We start from the raw sequence: 22,287 nt of genomic DNA, 5'->3' as shown, positions 1-22,287 counted from the left end.
GGCTTCTCATATTGATTAATTACACACACCTTACGTATATAAATATTGAAAATGCTTAACAAAGAGTAAGTAAATTATGATTGTTTTTGATCATTACTATTTTTCAACTATGAAAAATACTAATATAACTCTTGATTGTTTTCATTTATAATATTAACTAAAAAATAGTTTCTAACTTAGAAATGGATTGAGGTAAGAGGATAAGAAAAAAGAAAATAGCCTAAAGTGGAGATAAGTCTAATTTTAATTCAAAAAGGCATATTTTAGTACATCAAAATCGTTGATCAGATGATGATATTAAATTTCCTGTAAATTACATATGTCAATATTTGTAAGCTACTGATTCAGACTTCATCCCTGCTACATTGTGTAGTGCCTAAATTTGAACTGTATTTCCTGAGTGTTTGAACTGTATTTCCTGAGTGTATTTCAGATGAATTTTTGCAGCTCTACTGCTAGTGAGGTGTTTTGAGAAAATTTGGTGTAAGGCAGGAGTGTCAAGCTTTATGAGGGTTGGGTTTTGGCAAACAAAGGTCCTGAGATTCTAATTCCGGGACTTCTATCCCCAGATTTGCCCAAGTCAGTTGAGATGTGACACTGTTATTTTCCATTCCCTGATTCCTTTAGAAATACTGATGTGTGGGAGATAAAGAGTCACCCCATGTTTTCCAAGCACCCAATTCCAGAAAGTGCTTTGTGGATTTGGAACAGATTTTGAAATGAATAATTTTATAAGTTGAGATTAAGCAAAATAGGGAAAGTTTTTTTTTTTTTAATACACACTAGCCTTTTCCATTTAATAACTATAGAGCACCTATAGAATCAGGCTTCAATGTTATAATTTGCAACCCCAAGAAAGTCAAATTGGGACCATATAATTTGAACCAACAGTAGGGATCAAAACAAAATGAAACAAGCTTTCCCTCTTGTCTTCTTTCCAGAGCTTAACTGCCATAAATAGCACCTGAGTTGATATATTCCCATAAGAAGGCCAGTATAGATTGCTTTAGAACGTTCCCGTTGCTAGGCAACAAAAATGCCCATTAAAAAAAGAATGGAGCAGTCTCTTTACTAAAAAAGTTTGCGAAGCATCTAATCTCCTTGTTAGTATGTTTGTGTCGCTGAGGTCCTCCACAGCAAAGTGTATTCCACCCATTTTCTTAGAGAGAGAGAGGCAAGCATCCTATTATTAGACAGGTAACAATTTTTCTTCGTTACCGTAAAGATTTTAGTTTTAAGCCAGAAACAATTTAATAACGGCTCTTACACTTCAGTGCTTTAGAATTCAATAAGGCCTATTTTCACACAGCAGGCATATATGGCTTGTATTAATTTCAGAATAAGAATGGATCCATTATTATGTGTTTGAGTAAAGTAGGGGAAAAATTTGTAATGCAAGAATGTTGGCGTCCTTCAGTTCCACAGGAAGGAAACCAGCAAAGAATTCAACAGATATTAAAATGATTGCAGAGGAAGAAAGAGTTAGTACCTATGAAAGGACACTGGACTACAAATCAAGAGGTTTCATGTTATAATCATATCTGTCAACAGGCTAAGTGTCCTTGTATAAGTCAGTTAAACAGCTTGGATCTCAATTTTCTTGTCTAAATACAGAAAGCCTCTCTCTCTCTCTCTCTCTCTCTGCATGTGTGTGTGTGTGGGGGGGAGGGTTGTGAGTTGTGCAGGGTGTGTGTGTGTGTGTGTGTGTGTGTTGGAGCAGTAGATATCACCAATGTAATCATCTCTTCTTTCCGTAATTATTCATTGACAGTTTACTTCATCAGTGTGCTAGAGAGATTAAACAAATCCCTAACTTTAGGAAGTCCGCTGTGTAATGAAAGAGATAGACAAGTGACATATCAAAAGACAATTATAATGCTAAAAGTAAGGACAGGACTAATCACAATATTTCACTTGGGTTTTCATGCATGAATCCTTTCTATGACCCACTTAAGCTTCCTGTCCACCTTTGTACCCCCAGTGCTGCTATCTAGACATCGAATGATAATTCATTTTGTGGTATAAAAAGTGATACCATGCTGGTATATAGTCTTCCAGGGGATTGACAGTTTTATAGGTACAAAATCTTAAGCGTATGAAGCCATGGTAATAGAATTCATACATTTTCAGCTAGTGTAGTCAGATACTTCTACTATATCTAAGATTATACAATGTAAGATTTTGTTTTCCCTTTTTAAGCAATAACAATTTAGCTGCTAATTTTATAACTTCCACTTTGGTATCTTTTGGTTAAGAGACAAGTTGGCTGGTTCAAATGGATTTCCAGTATCTCTGGAATATAAAAAATATAAATATAAAAATTGTGGTATCAGAAATATTTAGAGATCCTTGGAATTGTTTATTTGAAATATTAAGAATAATGAAAACATCTATACAATATTTTTTACATTGTCTTTTCTGTTCTTTAAATAAAGTTACCATCCAGCATTTATGTAATCCTAAGGAAAAAGAAGTCAAGTTACTAGAGAAATATTGCCATCTAGGCTTTCCGAGAGTCCAAACATTATATTTGCAAATAACAAGATGTTTTGAGGGGCCTTCAATTTAAAAGAATTAGCAATAAATTCAGTCAATATAAATCATGAATTCAAAATTAAAGTTAGATTTATTCTTTTTGCCCTACCCAACATCTCTGAAATGTTTTCATAAAACAATTGTAATCTGTCTTCTTCTTCTTTCTACCTAGAAGTCACTAGGCCATTGCTTTTTATTTTTATTTTTTTTAATTAATGAACTGCCTTTTTTTCATCTTCTTTGTTTTCTTTATCTTAATTCCTTTACTCTTATAAAGGATACTAATACTATATATAAGTTTGGGAGTTTTAGTTTCTAGGACATGCTTTTAAATTTTTGATTGTGTTTGTGTGCTTCTTCAATATTCTCTCTGGTTTTATAAAGCAAACCAAGCAGAACAATTGTCTTGCACTTCAAATTCTGCTATGTTGTTAGTATAGTTGAAACACTTAAGCACTTTTTTTAATTAATCAACAACAAAAATGGATTTCATTATTCTTAAAAGAAGACCAGTGGACTCTTTAAATTTCTACCTGTAAATATAGCAGATGGTTGGGAAGTCCTCGCTTCTTTGTCTGGGACTGGAACAGCTTAGTTTAGTAAGGTAAATGGGGTCATTTTGTTTGGTCTACAAGGCATATTTAATAGGGTCAAGGTCATAGATTCCATTCCACTTCAATCAGCTTTGCCCCTTTTCATTTCCATGGGCTGAATTTCTAAGTACAGATATCCATCCAACAAATAAATCTATGCACAGGCCAAAGGGGAAATAATGAGAATATGGAGATGGATCCGTAAAAACTTGTCACAACTTAAGAAAAACAGCAACGGCTTATAAGCCAGCAGCTAGGAAATGATTGAATAGTGACAAACTGGCTGATTCCTAATGCCAAGAGGATATTTGAAGATGATGCATAAGTGCCTTCAGAAATCAAACATTTGTCCATAAATGTAGAAGACTGTAGGGGACGACGAAATGTGTGAAACAGTTCCCCCTTCAATGAAGGACTGTTGTCTGAGATGACTCAAGTGCTGTTGACATGTCCCTTTGGCTCTCAGCCCTTTCAGAGACTGCCTCACCCCTTTCTCTTGCGGGAACAGCCCAAATCCATTACCTGATTACTGTGAGGTGGGAAGGAGTATAAAGGCCGGGCCATCTCCGTCCAATGCTGGACAATTCAGACAGGCCAGTCTAGCCCTTGAGCTCCCTGAGGGGTCAGCTGGGGCTGTGATTGGTCCTGAATGACAGCTCAGTTTCTCCCTCTGTCAATTTTTTTGTCCTTCCCATCCTTCCCACACATATGGATCCCAAGAGCCCTCCTTAATAAACATCCTATGTACTAAACTCCAGTGCAGAGCCTGCCTCCTGGAAAACCTGACTGTTGCAAATAGTTTTTCAGTTTCTATTTAATGTCAGAACTGGCTCCATAATTTGCAAGTTCCAATGCAAAATGAACACACAGGGGATCTCTTAAAAAATTGTAAGACTCTAGATGGTGACGCAGAACATTAAACCAAGTGTGGAGTCTTCTACAGGCAGGACCAATGTGATGAGACTGATTGCATGCCCACCAAGGCAGCCCTGTTGAGGTAGAAATCACTGTTGTCATCAAGAATTCAGAGACTACATAATCATATTTCTGATGATTTACCACAGGAGATAATACATAAGACATAAGAAAATGCAAAGAATGGGACAGTTTTAGAGCCATGCAAATAAATTCCTGGTAATAAAATTTGGCCATAGGCATTTTATTAAACACATTGACAAGAAACATAATTTTTTAAATTACTGCATAAAATAGAACAATGTCTGAAGCTATACATATAAGAAATAGAACAACTTTTATTTAAAATTTTGAACTTTTAACACTTGTAGCACAAAAGACAGTGAAATTACTTAAAATTTTAGAAAGGCTCTGATCTTATGTGAGCTAATGTCATGATTACTAATATGTGCAATCACCATTCAAAAGGTTTTAGGATCGTGCTTGCGCATATTTTGATCACTCCCTCTTATTCTCTTGTTATAAATACAGTGTCCTCAAAGTATCTGCCCCTCGGCCTCATGGCCCAGATGATTGTTACAAATAATTACTGGGATTTGGTGAAGCACAACCAACTATGGCGATCAAGATGCCAGTATTCAAAGCAATAAACAGTATTCAAAGCAAGCAGAGCTCCCCATTCGAAGAGTATTTGAGCAACGCATAGTCCTATTAGGGCCTGCCACGCAGCAACATCTTCTTACATAAATTATTATTATTATATTACTAACAAAAATAGCAATGCAATTATGAAGCCCTCATATAGATATAAAATGTTTTCTGACACATTTCCTTTTTAAAGAAACTCCTCGAATAACATATGTTCTGTACTGTGTGCTATGCTACATTTGCTGAAGAAAAGCAAACAGTCAAAATAGCATCCCGAATATATTTATTTATCCATTCTGCTATTGATTGCCATTTGGGTAAATTTTAGTTTGTGTCTATTAGTGATGCAGTGCATATTTCTCCACTTGAATATTCAATGGATATGCAATAGATACTCATTTTTTTAATATTCTGTGTTTTTACACGTGGAATATCACACAACAGTAAAAATAAATCAACTCCAACTGCCTGACACAATATGGATGTCTCACAAAAATAACGTTGAGTGGGAAAGCCAACATGAAAGAGTACACACTGCATGTGTCCATTTATATAAAGTTCAAACACGGGCAAGCAAACCTGCAGCATTAGAAGCCAAAATATTGAAATGAGGTGAAAAATCCTTGGGTTCAGTTTGGATCACTCAAAAAGAGAGGCTGAGCAGAAGGTTGGATGAAAGCCACAATTCAGTTTCAAGACTTTCTGCCTGAGCTAGTGGTCATCAAATCAGAGAGTCACCATTTGTTGTTTTGTCTTCCTTTTGGCTCCTTCTGGATCATGAACTGGACTTCTTTTTTGTTGTTGTTTTTCTTTTTTTGAGGCAGAGTCTCACTCTGTCGCCAAGGTTGGAGTACAGTGGTGCAATCTTGGCTCACTGCTACCTCTGTCTCCTGGGTTCAAGCAATTCTCCTACCTCAGCCTCCCGAGTAGCTGGGATTACAGGCGCCCGCCACCACGCCCAGCTAATTTTTGCATTTTTAGTAGAGACGGGGTTTTACCATGTTGGCCAGGCTGGTCTCGAACTCCTGACCTCAGGTGATCTACCCACCTCAACTTCCCAAAGTGGACTTCTTTTTTACACATCAAGGATTGGTGACTATTTTTCAGGTGAGTGTATGGCTAAGGGAATACTTTTCATTGATGTCACCAAAAGAACTCCAAACTAACCTGTCTCTTATTTGAAATTCTACTAATACCAATATTGTAAAGAGTTGGATTTTTTATGACATTGTCCCTACTGATTAAAAAAAATACTCCCAGGGAAAGTAATAAATTACAACTTCTTCTTTAAGACAGAGATCATTTCTTATTCTTCTTTGTAAACCCAGTGCCTTGTACCAATTTTTGACAAAAAAATAAAAATGAAAAATGTTTGCCGAACGGGAGATAACCCTTCAGTCATTTCATGCTGCCATGAATGAATCCCAGATTCTTTCCTCAGGGATATTTTCTGTTATGGAGACGTTGCTCTCACTGGACCACAAGGCTGGGGCGTGACGGGCAGCTGGGAAGCTGTGATAAATGACCGGAAATGGACACTGAAAATATGAAAACAAATTGTGCTTTCTGCACAACTTTGCCAAGGAGTAGCCTCAATCACAACACATCCAAAATAGTATAAGAACATCTTCAGCATTTGGTCTAACAGACAAGAGTATATGTGTGTGTGTACTATATATATATATATATATATATATAGAGAGAGAGAGAGAGAGAGAGAGAGAGAGAGTCATATATATATAGTCATATATATATACTCTTCAGCATTTGGTCTAACGGACAAGAGTGTGTATATATATATATATATATATATATATAGTAATACTATATATAATAATACTATAATAATATAATCCTATAATAATAATAATAGAGTAATACTGTATATTTATATATATAGTATTACCCTCAGACTCATTTACTTATACATTCATTCGTTCATGTAACAAATAGTTGCTATGGTGTATCATGCATTGTGTTGGTGCAACTGATACAAGAATGAACAGAAAAAACATCATGGTTGACCCACTCCTAGAACTTAAAATCTAGGGATAGAGATAAAATTTTAAAAATCACACCAACAACATAAAACTACAAGAGTGGTAAACATTAAGAAGGAACAAGGAGGGTCCCAATTTAGAGAGATGGGGAGGAGGAGGGACAGAAAGGCTTGATTGTTTGTCCTCCTGAGCGTCCACAGCCCGAGTTACTCTCAGAGTTAACTGGACAAAGACATGAAACTTAGCATGAAATACACAAAGTAGTTATGGCTCAGCCGGCGGTTGTTTTTCAGATTCTCAATGTGCCTCTCACCCCTCTGACATTCAGACTCCTGGCTGTTATTTTCCAGAAGATTTTGAGGTAAGCTCTCTATATGAGTTAGAAAATATGCTTCCCAAATCACCATATCCTTAACAAAGGGTGGTAAAAACCTATCTGATGATAAGACTTTATGGAGAGAGGCTCCCTAAAGCACCTTCACTTACTTGTAATAATTCTAAAGTTGGGAAAACAATTTTGTTTTTTTCTTTACTTTTCCTAAATTTTTTACTTTTTCTAAAGCTGCTTCCAATTATCATTTGCCCCATACATTGGTATAACAGGATTTAATACCAGCCTCTTTTAGTATTTGACAATTTTTAAAAACTTTTTATTAAAGTCTTCTTCTCCCCATATTTAAATAGTATGTAAAGTAAAAAGAAATTGCAAGGTGCATTGAGCACTAATTGTCAGACCAATTATTCAATACACACACACATAATTATGTAAGGAAAACATAAGCTATCTCAGCAAAATTAAGCATTTTTAATTATTATGTGATGTACCAAAGACAGGAATGAAAAAGATAATTAAGATGATAGGTTTTTGGTTTTCTTTTTGAGACAGTCTCACTCTGTCGCCCAGGATGGAGTGCAGTGGCACAATCTTGACTCACTGCAAACTCTGTCTCCTGGGTTCAAGTAATTATTGTGCCTCAGCCTCCTGAGTAGCTGGGATTATGGGCATGTGCCACCACCCCTAGATAATTTTTGTATTTTTAGTAGAGATGGGGTTTTACCATGTTGGCAAAGCTGGTCTTGAACTCCCTACCTCAAGTGATCCGCCCGCCTCGGCTTCCCAAAGTGCTGGCATTGCAGGAAGATAGTTTTAGTTAGGGTAATTGCAATAGTAAGTGAAACATCTCAACGAAGAGGGAAAAAACATGCGGTTTTACAAAGGAAAGGTGTTAAGAGGGAGGGTGGAGATGGGTCTGGAGTATGCAAGGGCAGGATGGTCCTTTGTGGTTAACCATTTTCCTAAATTAAAAAAAAAAAAAGAAGGGGTTGGATTTCTTAACCCTCATTGATCTCTGAAAGTGCTGAACTCAGACAAATTCAGCGTTAGTCCTCCTATGTGTCCACTGTGAGTCAGTGAGCAATACTGAGCATGTCATAGACTTTCTGAATGAGATGAAGAGAGTTTAAGAAATAATCACTGAAAGGCTCTTGTTGAGGATGTTTCTAAAAAATTCAACTGGTTTGCAGAAACCTCTCGTGAAGGTCCCAGGTGACTTTAGCTCCCAGAGAGCAAGTTATTTACATAAAGGAGGGATTCCTGAAATAAAAAGCAGAAGTATTTTTAAGGGCTATACTAAAGATCCAGTAGTTGAACTCCGAGAGCGATCAGTCCGGTGAATTCTAGAAGATTGGTGTAAGCAAATCCCTTGTCATGCCGCAGCACTTCTTGAGTTTCTTGAAGCTCTCAGGCTGGGATGCTGATGCCCTTGGTAATGTTGTTCACAATCCAAGTCCCCTCTCATATGAGGGCATGCATGTCCTGAGCATTTCTTCAAACTACATTAGTAGTTTATAGACAAGCAGCTTGTCCAGGGCAAACTCAGGCCAGTGGTTGTCTGCAGCGTGATGAGGTTTCTGAGGTTTGTACAAAGTCATCAGGCTTCAGCTCTTAGGGCTTCTTCAGATCCAGAGACAGCTTCCAGGCCACAAAGAGACCCAGTAAGGGATACGGACAGCTCGGTTTTAGTCTTCAGTGACTTCAAATCAAGTACAAATGAGAAAAACTGGAGAAGGTCATTTGGAGGATAGTGACCTGATATTAAAGAAAATACAGAAAAAGGGAGAATTTTATAAGGATTGTCAGTTTGGGAAAGGTAACATGTTCCGGCCCAATTTGCAGTTAAGTACCAACCCTCCTTTTTCCACAGGGAGGGTAGAAATCAATTAAGTGTTTACCAGGTCATATGGTTTGGATTTGTGTCCCCATCCAAGTCTCATGTCAAATTGTAATCTCCAGTGTTGAAGGAGGGGACTGGTGGGAGGTGGTTGGATGATGGGGGTGAATTCCCCCATGATGTTCTCATGATAGTGAGTGAGTTCTCACTAGATGTGGTTATTTAAAAGTGTGTAGCACCTCCCCCTTCGCTCTCTTCCTCCTGCTCCTGTCATGTAAGATGTGCCTCTGATCATGACTGTAAGTTTCCTGAGGCTTCCCCAGCCATGCCTGTACAGTCTGTGGAACTATGAGTCAATTCAACCTCTTTTCTTTATAAATTACCCAGTCCCAGGTAGTTCTTTATAGCAATGCAGGAACAGACTAATACACCAGGCAAAATAGAGTGTACATATCCATAAGTTATGTTTAATTTACAGAGAAGTAGAACATAGCTCAAAGACGATAAGCAGGGATAAAATCTGATAACACGGAGGGGGGTACTGCATGTGATACACGGTTTTCCATTGAGACCTGTCATTTTTCACTACAGCATTTTGATCAAAAGTGATCTCAAAGACAGTGCATTCTTAATCACAAAATAAGGCTGGTCTCTTTAGATTTGCCCTGATTATGTACACAGGTACAGCAAGAATGGTAATTTACCACACAGGCATTCTTATGTTTGCTGTGCTGGAAATTTTTATAAGGGATCTCAGATCAGATATTCGGGAAGCCTGGGAATCTAAGGCAACAATTCAGCACTAGAAATTTGAGCAAATTCCTCTCCTTTCTAGTTTTCAAAATATCCTGATTTCTGGACTTGCCAGTAAGTCACTTTTCTTACTCACCCATAAGGCTGAGAATCTTGTAAACTGAGTGCCAGGCCAGGTTTCCAAGAGGGCATTGTAAGCATTGGCCCCAGAAAGTCAACCTTAGCTTAAAGTATCTAGTTGCATCTGATTAAATGAGCATCATTCTCAAATATGACATTCCAAGCAAGATCTTGGTTGCATAAGCAATGTTTCTAATTGTGTTCTTTTGACAAGGACATGCAAATAACTATATTATATAATGTGAATGTATGCACAGAACTATATTGCTACGAAAATAAGAACATTCAAGAGGTTCACAATTCTGAGAGTGTTGGGCAAAGAGAAAAATATTTCGTTTAAAAATGTTTCATTTCAGTTTACAAAAGCAAAATCTACTGCATTGTTCTGAGTTACACATAAGGAGAAAAGTCTTCCTATATATCTATAAAAATAGAAAATTAAAATGCCAATAATACCACAAACAAAACCCACAGCAATCCCTTTTCAGTATCTTCAGTCCAATGTAATTAATGTGTGTTCCACTCGATCTTGGGTTGACAGTCTCATGAATATGAATCCATCGGTTTCTCAGCTGTTTTCTCAACTGAAAAACTGTTTTTTTCCATCAGTTTTGGAAACCTTGGCTCACTCCACTGGTAGGTTCTCATTTAAGCAATGATACCATTGGAAACCTATAACCAAACATACATGACATAGTCCTATTTTGCAGGGCTCTGATACAGTCTCCTTTGTTGAGGATGGAAAATTCTGAGCTGTAGTAGATTACCAGAGCTTTCACGAAAGCTTCAGGGTAAAACAAACAATATCTGGAAATGACCAAAGACTTAAAATGGCTGTGGTTAATTTCTTACTTAGAAGGCTAAAAAGTGCAAGGCCTGATGAGATTTGTTTTAAAAAATAATTGAATAGGCAAAGAAATTTGTTGTTTTTGTTGCTTACAACACAAGGTAATAAAGTCAATCCAAAAAGGTTTTAGACAGAATATTTATAAACATAACAATTAATTATTGTCAAAAAGAGGAGATATTCTATGTAATCTTTACAAAGAAAAAGCTCAGATATTACATATACTAATCTTGATACATAATATAACACAAATATATCAAGCTTATAGTTCTATCAAAAATATCACGTAAAATATTATGGAAGTCTAGACTAGATCCTCAACACCTGAGTATTAGTAAAATGTCATAAGTAAGTCATGTAAATTCTTAGTCCAAAACCACTGATCTAGAAGATATTAGATTCAAATTAAAGAGGTAAAATTGTGACCAAGTCAATACTTAAATACCTAGAATTATGAATCATAACGCTACAGTGCTGTTGTCTAACCCAGGCAAAGCAACACCAGACTCTAACAAATAGAAACATATGAAAGGAAAGGGCACTGGCAAGTTTCCATGTAATTCCAATCCAGCATACAGTTTCTGAGATATTTATATTAACAATATTTTACCCATACCAACTTCACCTAGGGAAAGCTCAGGATCTCTTCTAATTTTCTAGCACTTCCTATGCACTTATCAGTCATAAAGTATCAAATAGATTTGATTATTTATAGCACTTTTCTTTTTATAATGTGAAAAAACACGTTTATGACTGGGGCCATCTGGGTGGTTTTTAAGACAGATTTCCTAGAGAAAATAATAATCCAATTTTGGAAAGGCAAAATATCAAAAGTTGTTGGAAGATCTGAACACTTGAACAAGTTCAAGTTGATACAATGATAGAGGCAGGAGGCAAGAAATTCTAGGCAGACGAGGGTAGGTCCCTGGCAAAACCCTGCCTTCTAGCAGAAAATCCTGAAACCCATGGCCCAAAGTGAGAACTTCCATCCCTGTTTTTCTGCTCCAATGTTGCCTTTTCCTATACTACCAACAGCCCACTCTGCCCCTCATCCTGTGCCTATGAAGACCCCAGACTCAGTCAGAGAGAAAGGGAGAAGCAGCTGGACTTCTGAAAGAAGAAACTTGACTTCAGAGGGAAGACTTGATGGCTTGATTTCAAAGAAGAGTCCTGCCAGAGATGGCCAGACTTGAGGGGAAGATTACCTGCCCATCCCATTTCCTTTCCAGCTCCCCTTCCTGCTGAGAGCCACTTTTTCATCGTTCAATGAAATTGTCTACATTCACCATCCTTCAATTTGTTCCTGCTACCTCATTTTTCCTGGATGACAGACAAGAGCTCGGGAGCCACAAGTGCAGATACTCAAAAAAAAAGGCTGTCACACTGGCCCTTTGCCCTCAGTAGTGGAAGGCAGCCACCCTGTGCAAGAAGGCAAAGGGCTTACTGAGCTGTTAACATTTAAGCTGTCCATGGATGGATGACAGAGCTGAAAGAGCATTGTGGCACACCCTCTGGGGCTTCAGAGTTGAACAGCCCCACCTGAACACTGCCGTGGGGCCTGCATGGAGTTTGTTCCTGCTGGTGCCCAAAAGCAGACAGCTGGGTCGCTTACTTGCTCACCCATGTGTTCCCCCAACAAGGGGTGGTGAGCTGAGTAAATGAAGTTTGTTCCTGCCAATGCCTAAAAGTGCTCACTTCAGTTCCTGTACTCATTTGCTTGCACGCTGCCTCCCATGAGGGTTAGACATGGGTGGACTGAGAAAACAAGGCACCTCTGTCACAAATCCCATTAAGGGGTCAAGAAAATATCCTGATTCAATATGTTACTAAGAAATAATAATTGGTTATCTATTTAACCTAGGGACAACAAACATATTTTAAAAGTAAAACTAGGAGTTAAGATGATCATAATGACCCTTAGCTCTTCTATAAATGAGAAACCTTTGTTTTCATAAATAATCAAGGGCAAAAAACAATCGTACAAACCATAGAAGGTTACTCTGGTAAGATGGAATCTTAGCTATACAGGTGGATTACACTGAAGGTACAAAAGAAACTTTTCTTTTTTTAAGACGCGTTTATTCAGCATCGTGATCAGATTATTACATTTAGCAATCAACAGCATGGGTACAAAAAATCATCTATATTAAAACCCTTTGTTGGAATGCTTTGTACTTTCCACGGAACAGAAACTAAAACAACCTGTTCTACAATTAATCACAAATACAGTCCTTGAGATTTTGCCCATACACATGAGTATTTGTCAAAAACATGGCTTCTTTGTAGCAGCTAGGCCCTGCCACCACTGTGCTTGGCTGAGTTCACAATTCTGTTGTAACCTGTAGCTTCCCCGTCACTTCTCTGGCTCTCCTCTCCTGCTAAGCTTTGTTTCCTGACTGTAATTAAAATCTTCTGCCACTGCCATAGCTACTGCTGCTACTGGAACCACCCCAGCCACCTTGGTTTTGTGGTTTGGCAAAGTACTGGCTTCCACCACCATAGGGGCCAGAGCTTCTGCCTCCAAAATTTACTCTCTTCATGGGTCCAAAATTTGAAGACTGTTGCAATTGCCAAAATCACTGTAGCTTCCACCACCTCCAAAATTGCTTCCATCATTACCAAATCCATGATGACCATCCCCGCTGCCACCATATCCACCATCACCATGGCTGCCACCAAAGCCACCATGACCACTGAAGTTTCCTCCATGACCAAAGTTGTCATTCCCACCAAAGCCACCTCCATGACCACCGCTAAAGCTTCCAGAACCACTTCAATCTCTTTGGCTGGATGAAGCACTCGCCATCTCTTGCTTTGACAGGGCTTTCCTAACTTTACAGTTGTGGCCATTCACAGAATGGTATTTCTGAATGACAGTGTCATCCACGGAGTCATGGTCATCAAAGATTATGAAGGCAAAGCGCCTTTTCTTGCCACTGCCTCAGTCGGTCATGAGTTCAATCACTTCGATTTTTCCAGACTGTTCAAAATAATCTCTTAGGTGATGTTCTTCAGTGTCTTCTTTAATGCCACCAACACGTATACTTTTCACAGTTAAGTGGACACCTGGTCTTTGAGAAACTTTTCTTGAGACAGCTTTTTGGTTCCACAACTCTTGCATCCACCTTGTGTGACCTTGCATTCATGGCTGCATCCACCTCCTCCACAGTGGTGCATGTGACAAACCCAAAGCTCCTGGAGCTCTTGGTGTTTGGATCTCTCAAGACCGCCTAGTCTGTGAGTATTCCACATTGCTCACAGTGGCTCTTCAGGCTCTCATTGGTTGTTTCAGAGCTCAACCCTCCAATGAAGAGCTCCCGCAGCTAATCGGGCTCTTTAGGAGACTCTGACTTAGACATGACAGCAGGGGAAAGAGAGACTTTAACAATGCTTCCTTGGCAGCGTCCATGGGCAGAAAGGAGTAAGCTGGCAAAGAGATCTCATAGAAAGGAAACTTTTATAGCCTGTTTTGAAAAGACCAATAATATAAGAAAATTTCAGTAGAACAGAGAGAAAACCAAAATCTAGTTTTACAGCACTAGAATGTTTGATACTCAAACTCTACTTGAAAATCTTATAAATAAACCTATCAAACCTTAACCGGTTTAACCATAACAGCCAAAATTCCCTTTCTGATAACTTTCTAAAATTTTTTCTTCCATTTAATTTTTTTTCCTATAATTTTCTTTTTCTCGTTCTGGAATAAGCAGTCATTTTATTTTACAACATAATTACTCTCTTTTTTCTTAACAAAAACTCATCCAGTATATTTTGCATACCAGGTTGTGCCTCCTTTCCACTATTACTACTAACTGAGTCTCATTCATATATACAGATTATATGTTTTCACAACATTGACTTCTACTTCATAGAGGAAGACAGGAGGAAAATAATTGTGAGCTATCTGTACTCACGCCAGCATTTCACAGCATCCTATATGGTACAACTCCTCAAAGTGGCAAAACTGAACAGGTTCATGAGCATTTGCAAATAAATTTCACCTTTCTATATCATGTAAAACATGCGAGGCAAAATGTCTACATACTTAAAATTATGTTTAGTAATTAAAGGTTTAATGTTTTATCTTTCTTAGGATGATCTTGATATCTAATAAAATTCCATTAATTGACTCAATTCAGTATCATTCCAAGGCTTTAGAAATTATCTTGTAACTGATATACTATAAAACATACTTTATTAAATAAAGTTTGTCAGAATATTGATCTGATTTGCTTATATAGCATACACATTTACATTTTTTTCATAATTTTAACTATTTAGTAGAATTCATGGTAATTCATTCAATCAGTAAACATGTATAAGTTTACGGAGAGCATACCCAAGGAGAATAAGAATGTAAGCTGGTATTATACTTAACATTGGTAATTTAGAGATTACATAGATGTTTCTACTGAACCAACAATGTTATACTAATCTCTCTTGCCAAAGGTTTACTTACATATGTGAGCTTGAATTTATAACATGTATTAAGATGTGTGAGTTTGTTTCTGTAAGAACGTGTTTTTAAAGTATATTGAAAGTCAGCCAGGTGTGGTGGGAAAGTATTTGAAGTTCAATTTTCTTAATTTCTGAGAAATTAGGAATATACAATTTAAATAAGCATTTATTTATCTCTAAGCCAATCAGATTAGGACTGTGTTAAAAGGTTTAATGATTTAATTCGACAATACCATTTAGGAATATATTGCATACATACCATAAGAGATAAACGTCTTTCTGAATTTTAGAAATATAAACACACAGACACACACAGAAATTCAGCAGTGGGTTAAACATAAACACAGAAACACAAGACGAATTGCTCTATATTAAGGAGTTATTCTCTTCATAGAAGGTATGAATTTTTAATTGATTGGAGCTCAAGATAGATGAAATAGACAAACAGAAAAGACTAACAAATTAGATTGTCTGTCATTTTTTACACCACAGAGAAAAGATCTCTGTAAACCATTAATCCATTTATAGAGATTGCCACATGCTCACACAATAATGGAAAAATATTGCAGCATCCATACTCAAACAAATACTCAAAAGGAATCAAAATCATATCCTTTCCACACTACCAGTGGGCAAGAGTCCAGAACAAAGACCAAGAATCAGACTCACCCTTGTGTTCCCTCATTCTGTTCCAATGAGAAACAGAGCACAAAGCACACCAAAAGCCTCCAGACCTGGACAGAGCAAAGGGGGACCCAAAGGCGAGTTCCTATATGACCCAAGCCATGGCACCCAAATAGTGAAAGAAAAAATGCACCAATTAAGGAAATGTTTTTCTTCAGGCAACGGTAGTAGGAACATATTCATTAAGGAATATCATCTCTACATATAGGGAGGAAACATGGGGCCTTATGAAACAAGGGATTCCTGGAGGAAGACTAAAGCAGGTCTTATCTTGCTATGAAAGAGCAGGGTGGTCATATATTAGAAGCCACTTTCTGGAATGCAAAACATTGATTGATTTCAAAAGGATAGGCAGATTTCTTAACCTTGATTATTTTCCAGGAACATAAGACTCGGGTAAAATTCAACATTATCAGGAACACAGTAGTGTTTGAAACAAGAGGAAACTAAAAATGTAATTCTTAGGAAACTTCTGAAAGCTTTTTTTTACTGTTAAAAGTCGACAGGAGTCCTTAGAATTGAAGGTTAATTCATAGAGCAGGAAAAAAGTTAGAAACCCTTATGAGATTTATTCTCTCAGATATTTAAAAACTAATACAAGTGGACCTCACATTTCAGAAGACAACTTCATAGAATATTCAGTCCCTGAAAGTGAGCCAAATTCTTCTAATTTCATTCTAGAATTATCAGTTAGAGTGCATCATTTGTTATATTGTAGAAATTCTCTTGACGTCATGAAATAAGTATGTTTGTTGCTGGTCACGCTTCATAGACAATCATAAAAAACAAAACAAATGCTTAATATATATATTGTGCAAGAGAAACTTGTATTGCAGTATTATTAAAAGCAAATCAATAAGAAGCATTTTCTATACCTTCTAATTCACATCTTATAAGATTTTACTTGGGCCAGGCACGGTGGCTCACGCCTGCAATCCCAGCACTTTGGGAAGCCAAGGCAGGCGGATCACATGAGGTCAAGAGTTTTGAGACCAGCCTGACCAACATGGGGAAACCCCTTCTCTACTAAAAATACAAAGTTAGCTGGGCATGGTGGCGCATGGCTGTAATCCCAGCTACTCTGGAGGCTGAGGCAGGAGAATCGTTTGAACCCGGGAGGAGGAGGTTGCAGTGAGCCAAGGTTGTGCCATTGCACTCCAGCCTGGGCAACAAAGAGCAAAACTCTGTCTCAAAAAAAAAATATATATATATATAATATATACATATATAAATATATATTTATATATATAATATATATGTACATATATATACACATATATAAATATATATTTATATATAATATATAAATATATATTTATATATATTTTCTATATTTATATTTATTTATATAATATATTTATATATATTTTCTAAAATGTATAAATATATTTATATATATTTTCTATAATATATAAATATATATATTTATATATATATATATATATATGTACTTGATCTCCTTAAGTTGCTAAGTGACAAACAGCCCACCTATGTTATGTGTATAGTCAGCATTGTCAAGCTCAGGCCAATAGACATATATTATGCTGAAAAGCAGTGGAAATATTCTTGTAATACATAACTATGTTAATTTAAATGAAGTCTTTATTACTGAAAAGATTTTTAAAACCCAGAAAAGATAGATCTTCCTGAAACAATTTCATTAGCTTGGTGAGTGTATATTTTACTTATCAAAAACAAATTACCCAACTCTACCAAAAGGAATGAATTTAATAATACACTTAACTATGTAGTAATTTGTCAAAGTCCCAAATCTCTTTACATTTAATATCATGTTAAATCAGTGATTTGTTTTTACATTTGACAACCTAGAATTTAGCACAGGCTACATTGTAATACCAATGGTTAGATGAATGTTGGTATAGTATATGAACATTGTACTTAGAAATAAGTCTGGCACTTTTAAATCACACCTGCAATTCTCAAACCACCAAATCCAATGGAATAAATCTTTCCACATAATTTGTTCTGTAAAGAAGTCCTAATGTACACCAAAAAATTTGAAAAATTATTTTGCAATTCTGTTGAATTAAATAAAAGAAGAAATCACACCTCAGAATTAATAACATTATTACCTGATGAACTCTGAAGAATCTGTTGTGATATTTTCATTAAATTGTTTAATAATATACATAAATAGAGACTACAAAAGTTCGATGTGTTACCTATTTTAATTCTGAAATTTGGTTAATTTATTTAAATCAATGTGTTTTCATGTTGAAATGTATAAATAGCTTTTAAGAGAAATGCATATTTTCATTTGTTTATAAAGTTGTTGCTCCTCTCCCAAAGGTAAAGGTACCACTTTATCTGTAAAGCTCATTCATAGCTGACTCAGGTGAATGTTCCTTTGAGGATATCAGTTATGCAGCAAACTGAGAGTTGTACCAAGGGCTATTAAAAATTATGTAACAGAGAAAACATGATCTTGGAGGACATTTAGAAAATCTCTCTGACAGGGAGTAACAGAGGGAACTATCTTACAAAGGAACTTCAAAACACATCTCTGGGCTAGAGGGATATATTGTCTTAGAAGACGTTTTGAATACAAATTGCATATACCACAAGACACTGAAAAGGAAGTCGCTAATATGAATTTGAAAGGCAACGGTGTACAGGAATAAATCTGATGCTTCACTTCCTGAGTCAACAAGCATGGAATCTATGAGGTTTTCAAAGAAATGGATGAGCAATAGCTTCAGGAAAACGTGTAAATAAATGAGTCCCTGGGGCCTCATGTAGAGATACTGTTCAAATAGGTGATTTTCTGCATTCTGAGCAGGCTGAAGTCCTATTTTCTCCCCTTTGGCATTTTGTCTTCTTTGACATTCCCTCACTCACAGCCTGCCTCCTTCTGACCCCAGCATTGTTCAGTATCAGGTTATTGCAAATAGCAAAGCTTGTACCAAGGCTTGTATCACCAGGGCATGCCACATTAGGGTGGAAATGGAATTGCAGGTTAATCTTTCAACTAAAGTGTGTAAGAAAAAAAGATACCTATTACTAATAATAATTTAAAAATAAATTGTGAAATGCTAGCTATGTGCCAGATATTGGGAAAGGCACTCTTGAGACAGAGTAAGTGGCACACTTCAATCCAATAAAATATTTATGAAGTCACTGTAATGTGAAACCCACTGGTCTGGGCACTATAGAGAGACCTACAAAGACAGAGAAGAAAGACCCTTTTTAAGAAGGTTATTATTTGCCCCCCTTAAATTCATAAGTTAAAGTCCTAACCTCCTCTACCACATCAATGTGATCACGTATGGAAATAGATTGTTTTACATGTATTAGTTAAGATGGGATAATAGTGGAGTAAGATGGGCCCTCATTCAAAATGACTGTGTCCTTATAAAAAGAGGAAGTGTGAACACAGAGACACACAGACAAAGAGAAGAAGGCACAGATCAGGGTGATGCTTCCCCAAAACAAGGAGCTCCAATGAGTGCTGGAAAATTGCCAGAATCTGCGGGGCAAGGCCTGGAAAAGATTCTCCCTCCCAGCCCTTGGGAAGAACCAACCCTACTGACAGCTTGATCTTGGACTTCTGGCCTGCAGAACTGTGAAATGATAAACTTCTGTTTTTTGGGCACCCAGTTTATGACACTTTGTTACAGCAGCCCCAGCTGGGAGCTGGGTTCTGGGAGAAATAAAATACAAACACACATCCATAAAATATAAAACAAAAATACAAGTTAGAAGAGAAGAACAAACAAAATCATGTAGGATTTTAAACTTCTGGATAAAGGTAAGTGGGTGTTTCAGATCAGACAAATCTCCGCAGAATAGACATTTAAGCTAAACCTTAAAGCAATTGACAGAATTGGAGCAGGTGCAGTAAGATTGTGTGTATTGCAGAGAGGCAATGTTTTTTATTAGAGGAAGACATTAAGTACAGAAAAACACAGAAAATATGCATCCAACAGAGCAAGATAAGACCCCAGAGAAAAGGAGGGAGGGAGGTAAGGGGGCCATTCTGCAAAGGGCTTTGAAGGTAAGGTGGGGAGCCTGCAATCAGTTTGAGGGAAGTAAACTTTTATGTTTCTTAAACATAGAAAGCAGACACACAACAAATGTGAGTGTTCATGTGCACTTGCATGTGCACACACACAGGCACATACACACATAAAAACAAACAACTTGAATCTACAGATTCAACATTATTCCTACCAAACTATTAATGTCATTTTTCAAACTAGAAAAAAACTATTCTAAAATTCATGTGAAACCAAAAAAGAGCCTGACTAGCCAAAGTGATCCTAAGCAAAAAGAGCAAAGCTGGAGGCATCATGCTACCTGATTTAAATTATACTACAGGGCTACAGTAACCAAAACAGCATGGTACTAGTACAAAAACAGACACATATAACAATGCAACAGAATAGAGAACCCCCAAAATAAAGCCACACACTTAACAGCCATCTATTTTCACAAAATTGATAAAAAATAAACAATGAAGAAAGGATTCCCTATTCAATAAATAGTGCAGGAATAACTGGCCAGCCATATATAGAAGAATGAAACTGGATCTTTATCTCTCACCATATCCCAAAGTTAACTCAAGGTGGATTAGAGACTTAAATGTGAGACCTCAAATTATAAGAATTCTAGAAGAAAACCTAGGAGACATTCTAGACATTGGTGTTGGGAAATGATTTATGACTAAGTCCTCCAAAACAATTGCAACAAAAACAAAGATTGGAAAGTGGGACCTAATTAAACTAAAGAGCTTCTGCCCAGCAAAAGAAACCATCAACAGAGTAAACAGACAAGCTACAGAATGGGAGAAAATATTTGCAAACTATGCATCCAACAAAGGTCTAATATCCATAATCTATAAGGAACTTAAGCAATTGAACAAGCAAAAACAAATACCCCATTAAAAAGCAGGCAAAAGACATGAACAGACACTTCTCAAAAGAAGACATATGAGCAGCCAACAAACATGAAAAAATGCTCCACATCACTAATCATTGCAGAAATGTAAATAAAAACCACGGTTAAATACCATCTCATGCCAGTCAGATGGCTATTATTGAAAGTCAAAAAAAGAAAAGTACATGCTGGTGAGGCTGCAGAGAAAAGAGAATGCTTATACACTACTGGTGGGAATGTCAATTGGTTCAGACCACGTTGAAAGCATTTTGGAGATTTCTCAAATAATTTAAAAGAAAACTAACATTTGACTCAGCAATTGCATGACATTAGATTAATACCCAAAGGAATATAAAACCTTCTACCAGGAAGACACATGCACTCATATGTTCATCACAGCACTAGTCACAATAGTGAAGATGTGGAATCAACCTACATATCCATCAATGGTAGATTGGATAAAGAAAATATGGTACATATACACCATGAAATACTATGCAGCCATAAAAAATATGAAATAATGTTCTTTGCAGCAACATGGATGCAGCTGGAGGTCATTTTCCTAAGCAAATTAACACAGAAACAGAAAATCGGATACCACATGTTCTCACTTATAAGTGGAAGCTAAATAGGGGGTACTCACAGACATAAAGATAATAATAACAGAAACTGGGGATTACTAGAGGTGGAAGGGAGGTAAGGGTTGAAATACTAACTATTGGGTATTATGCTCAGTACCCAAGTGACCAATTGTATCCCAAACCTCATCATCATGCAATATACCCAGTTAACAAACCTGCACATGTACCCCCAATCTAAAATAAAAGTGTTAAATTCTATTTTTAAATGAGCCACTTGATGGTTTAAGCCAGGTTTACCACCACTGGGTTTGTGTCTTGGAAGTACTTGGAACTGCTATAAAGGAGGGATGCTCCTTATTGATTTCTACATTGCTTCAGAGGAGTAACATTCTGAAGCATTTATGAGTCAATATTATTCTAGGTGCTGGGATTACAGCAGTAGACAGGATATACAGAGTCCCTTCCCTCATGTAGTGTACATTCCAATGGAGGTAAATGCACAATGATAGATATATAGATATTTGGTGTAGTATCAGAGCAGTGAAAAATAGTATTACACAAAAATAAATCTAGATGAAAGAAAGAAAATGATAGTGATGTGTTTTAAGTTAAGATCATCAGGAAAGTTTATAAGAAGGGAAACATTTTGAGCAAAGACCCAAAGAAAGGAAGAGAAAGAGCCATTGTTTTCCCAGTGGTAGGTACCCTAGAGAACAGCACTGCACACATGCTCAGAATGGAGTGTGCTTGGTGTTGAAGGGACAGGGGTGGCCAGGGTGGAAGAGAGATGGGGGAGAGGAGTGCGCTGAGGCTCAGGCTAAAAACAACAACAACAACTCATCTCAGAAAAGCCATAAATACAGTCTACATCATTTATTTCTAAAAGAAAGAAACATTAGGATGGTCATGGTGGGAAGAGCTGAGTGTGTCCTATTTCAGCCTGCAAAAGTGTGGGTGGCCCTGGGTTGACAACCAGCTGAGGGAGGCTGTGGAACATTAGGGAACATTAATGGTCCTGCCTGTACACACAGGATGGCAGCGAGTTTCAGTGAGACAGGCGTAGAGGTGGCAGGACAACCCAGGGAA

The 22,287-nt window shown here is 37.0% G+C and overlaps 1 protein-coding gene and 1 pseudogene across 3 annotated transcripts in view; one reads left to right on the top strand and one right to left on the bottom strand.

The window, feature by feature from the left end:
* Positions 1-22,287, top strand: part of CBLN2 (cerebellin 2 precursor) — a 101,841-nt gene that overhangs the window by 6,314 nt on the left and 73,240 nt on the right. The gene's annotated exons all lie outside the window — the stretch shown is intronic.
* Positions 12,788-14,023, bottom strand: HNRNPA1P11 (heterogeneous nuclear ribonucleoprotein A1 pseudogene 11; annotated as a pseudogene).

This window comes from Homo sapiens, chromosome 18 (genome assembly GCF_000001405.40).
Source record: "Homo sapiens chromosome 18, GRCh38.p14 Primary Assembly".
In the NCBI taxonomy this organism is placed as follows: Eukaryota; Metazoa; Chordata; class Mammalia; order Primates; family Hominidae; genus Homo; species Homo sapiens.
This window is presented reverse-complemented; position numbering and strand designations above follow the sequence as displayed.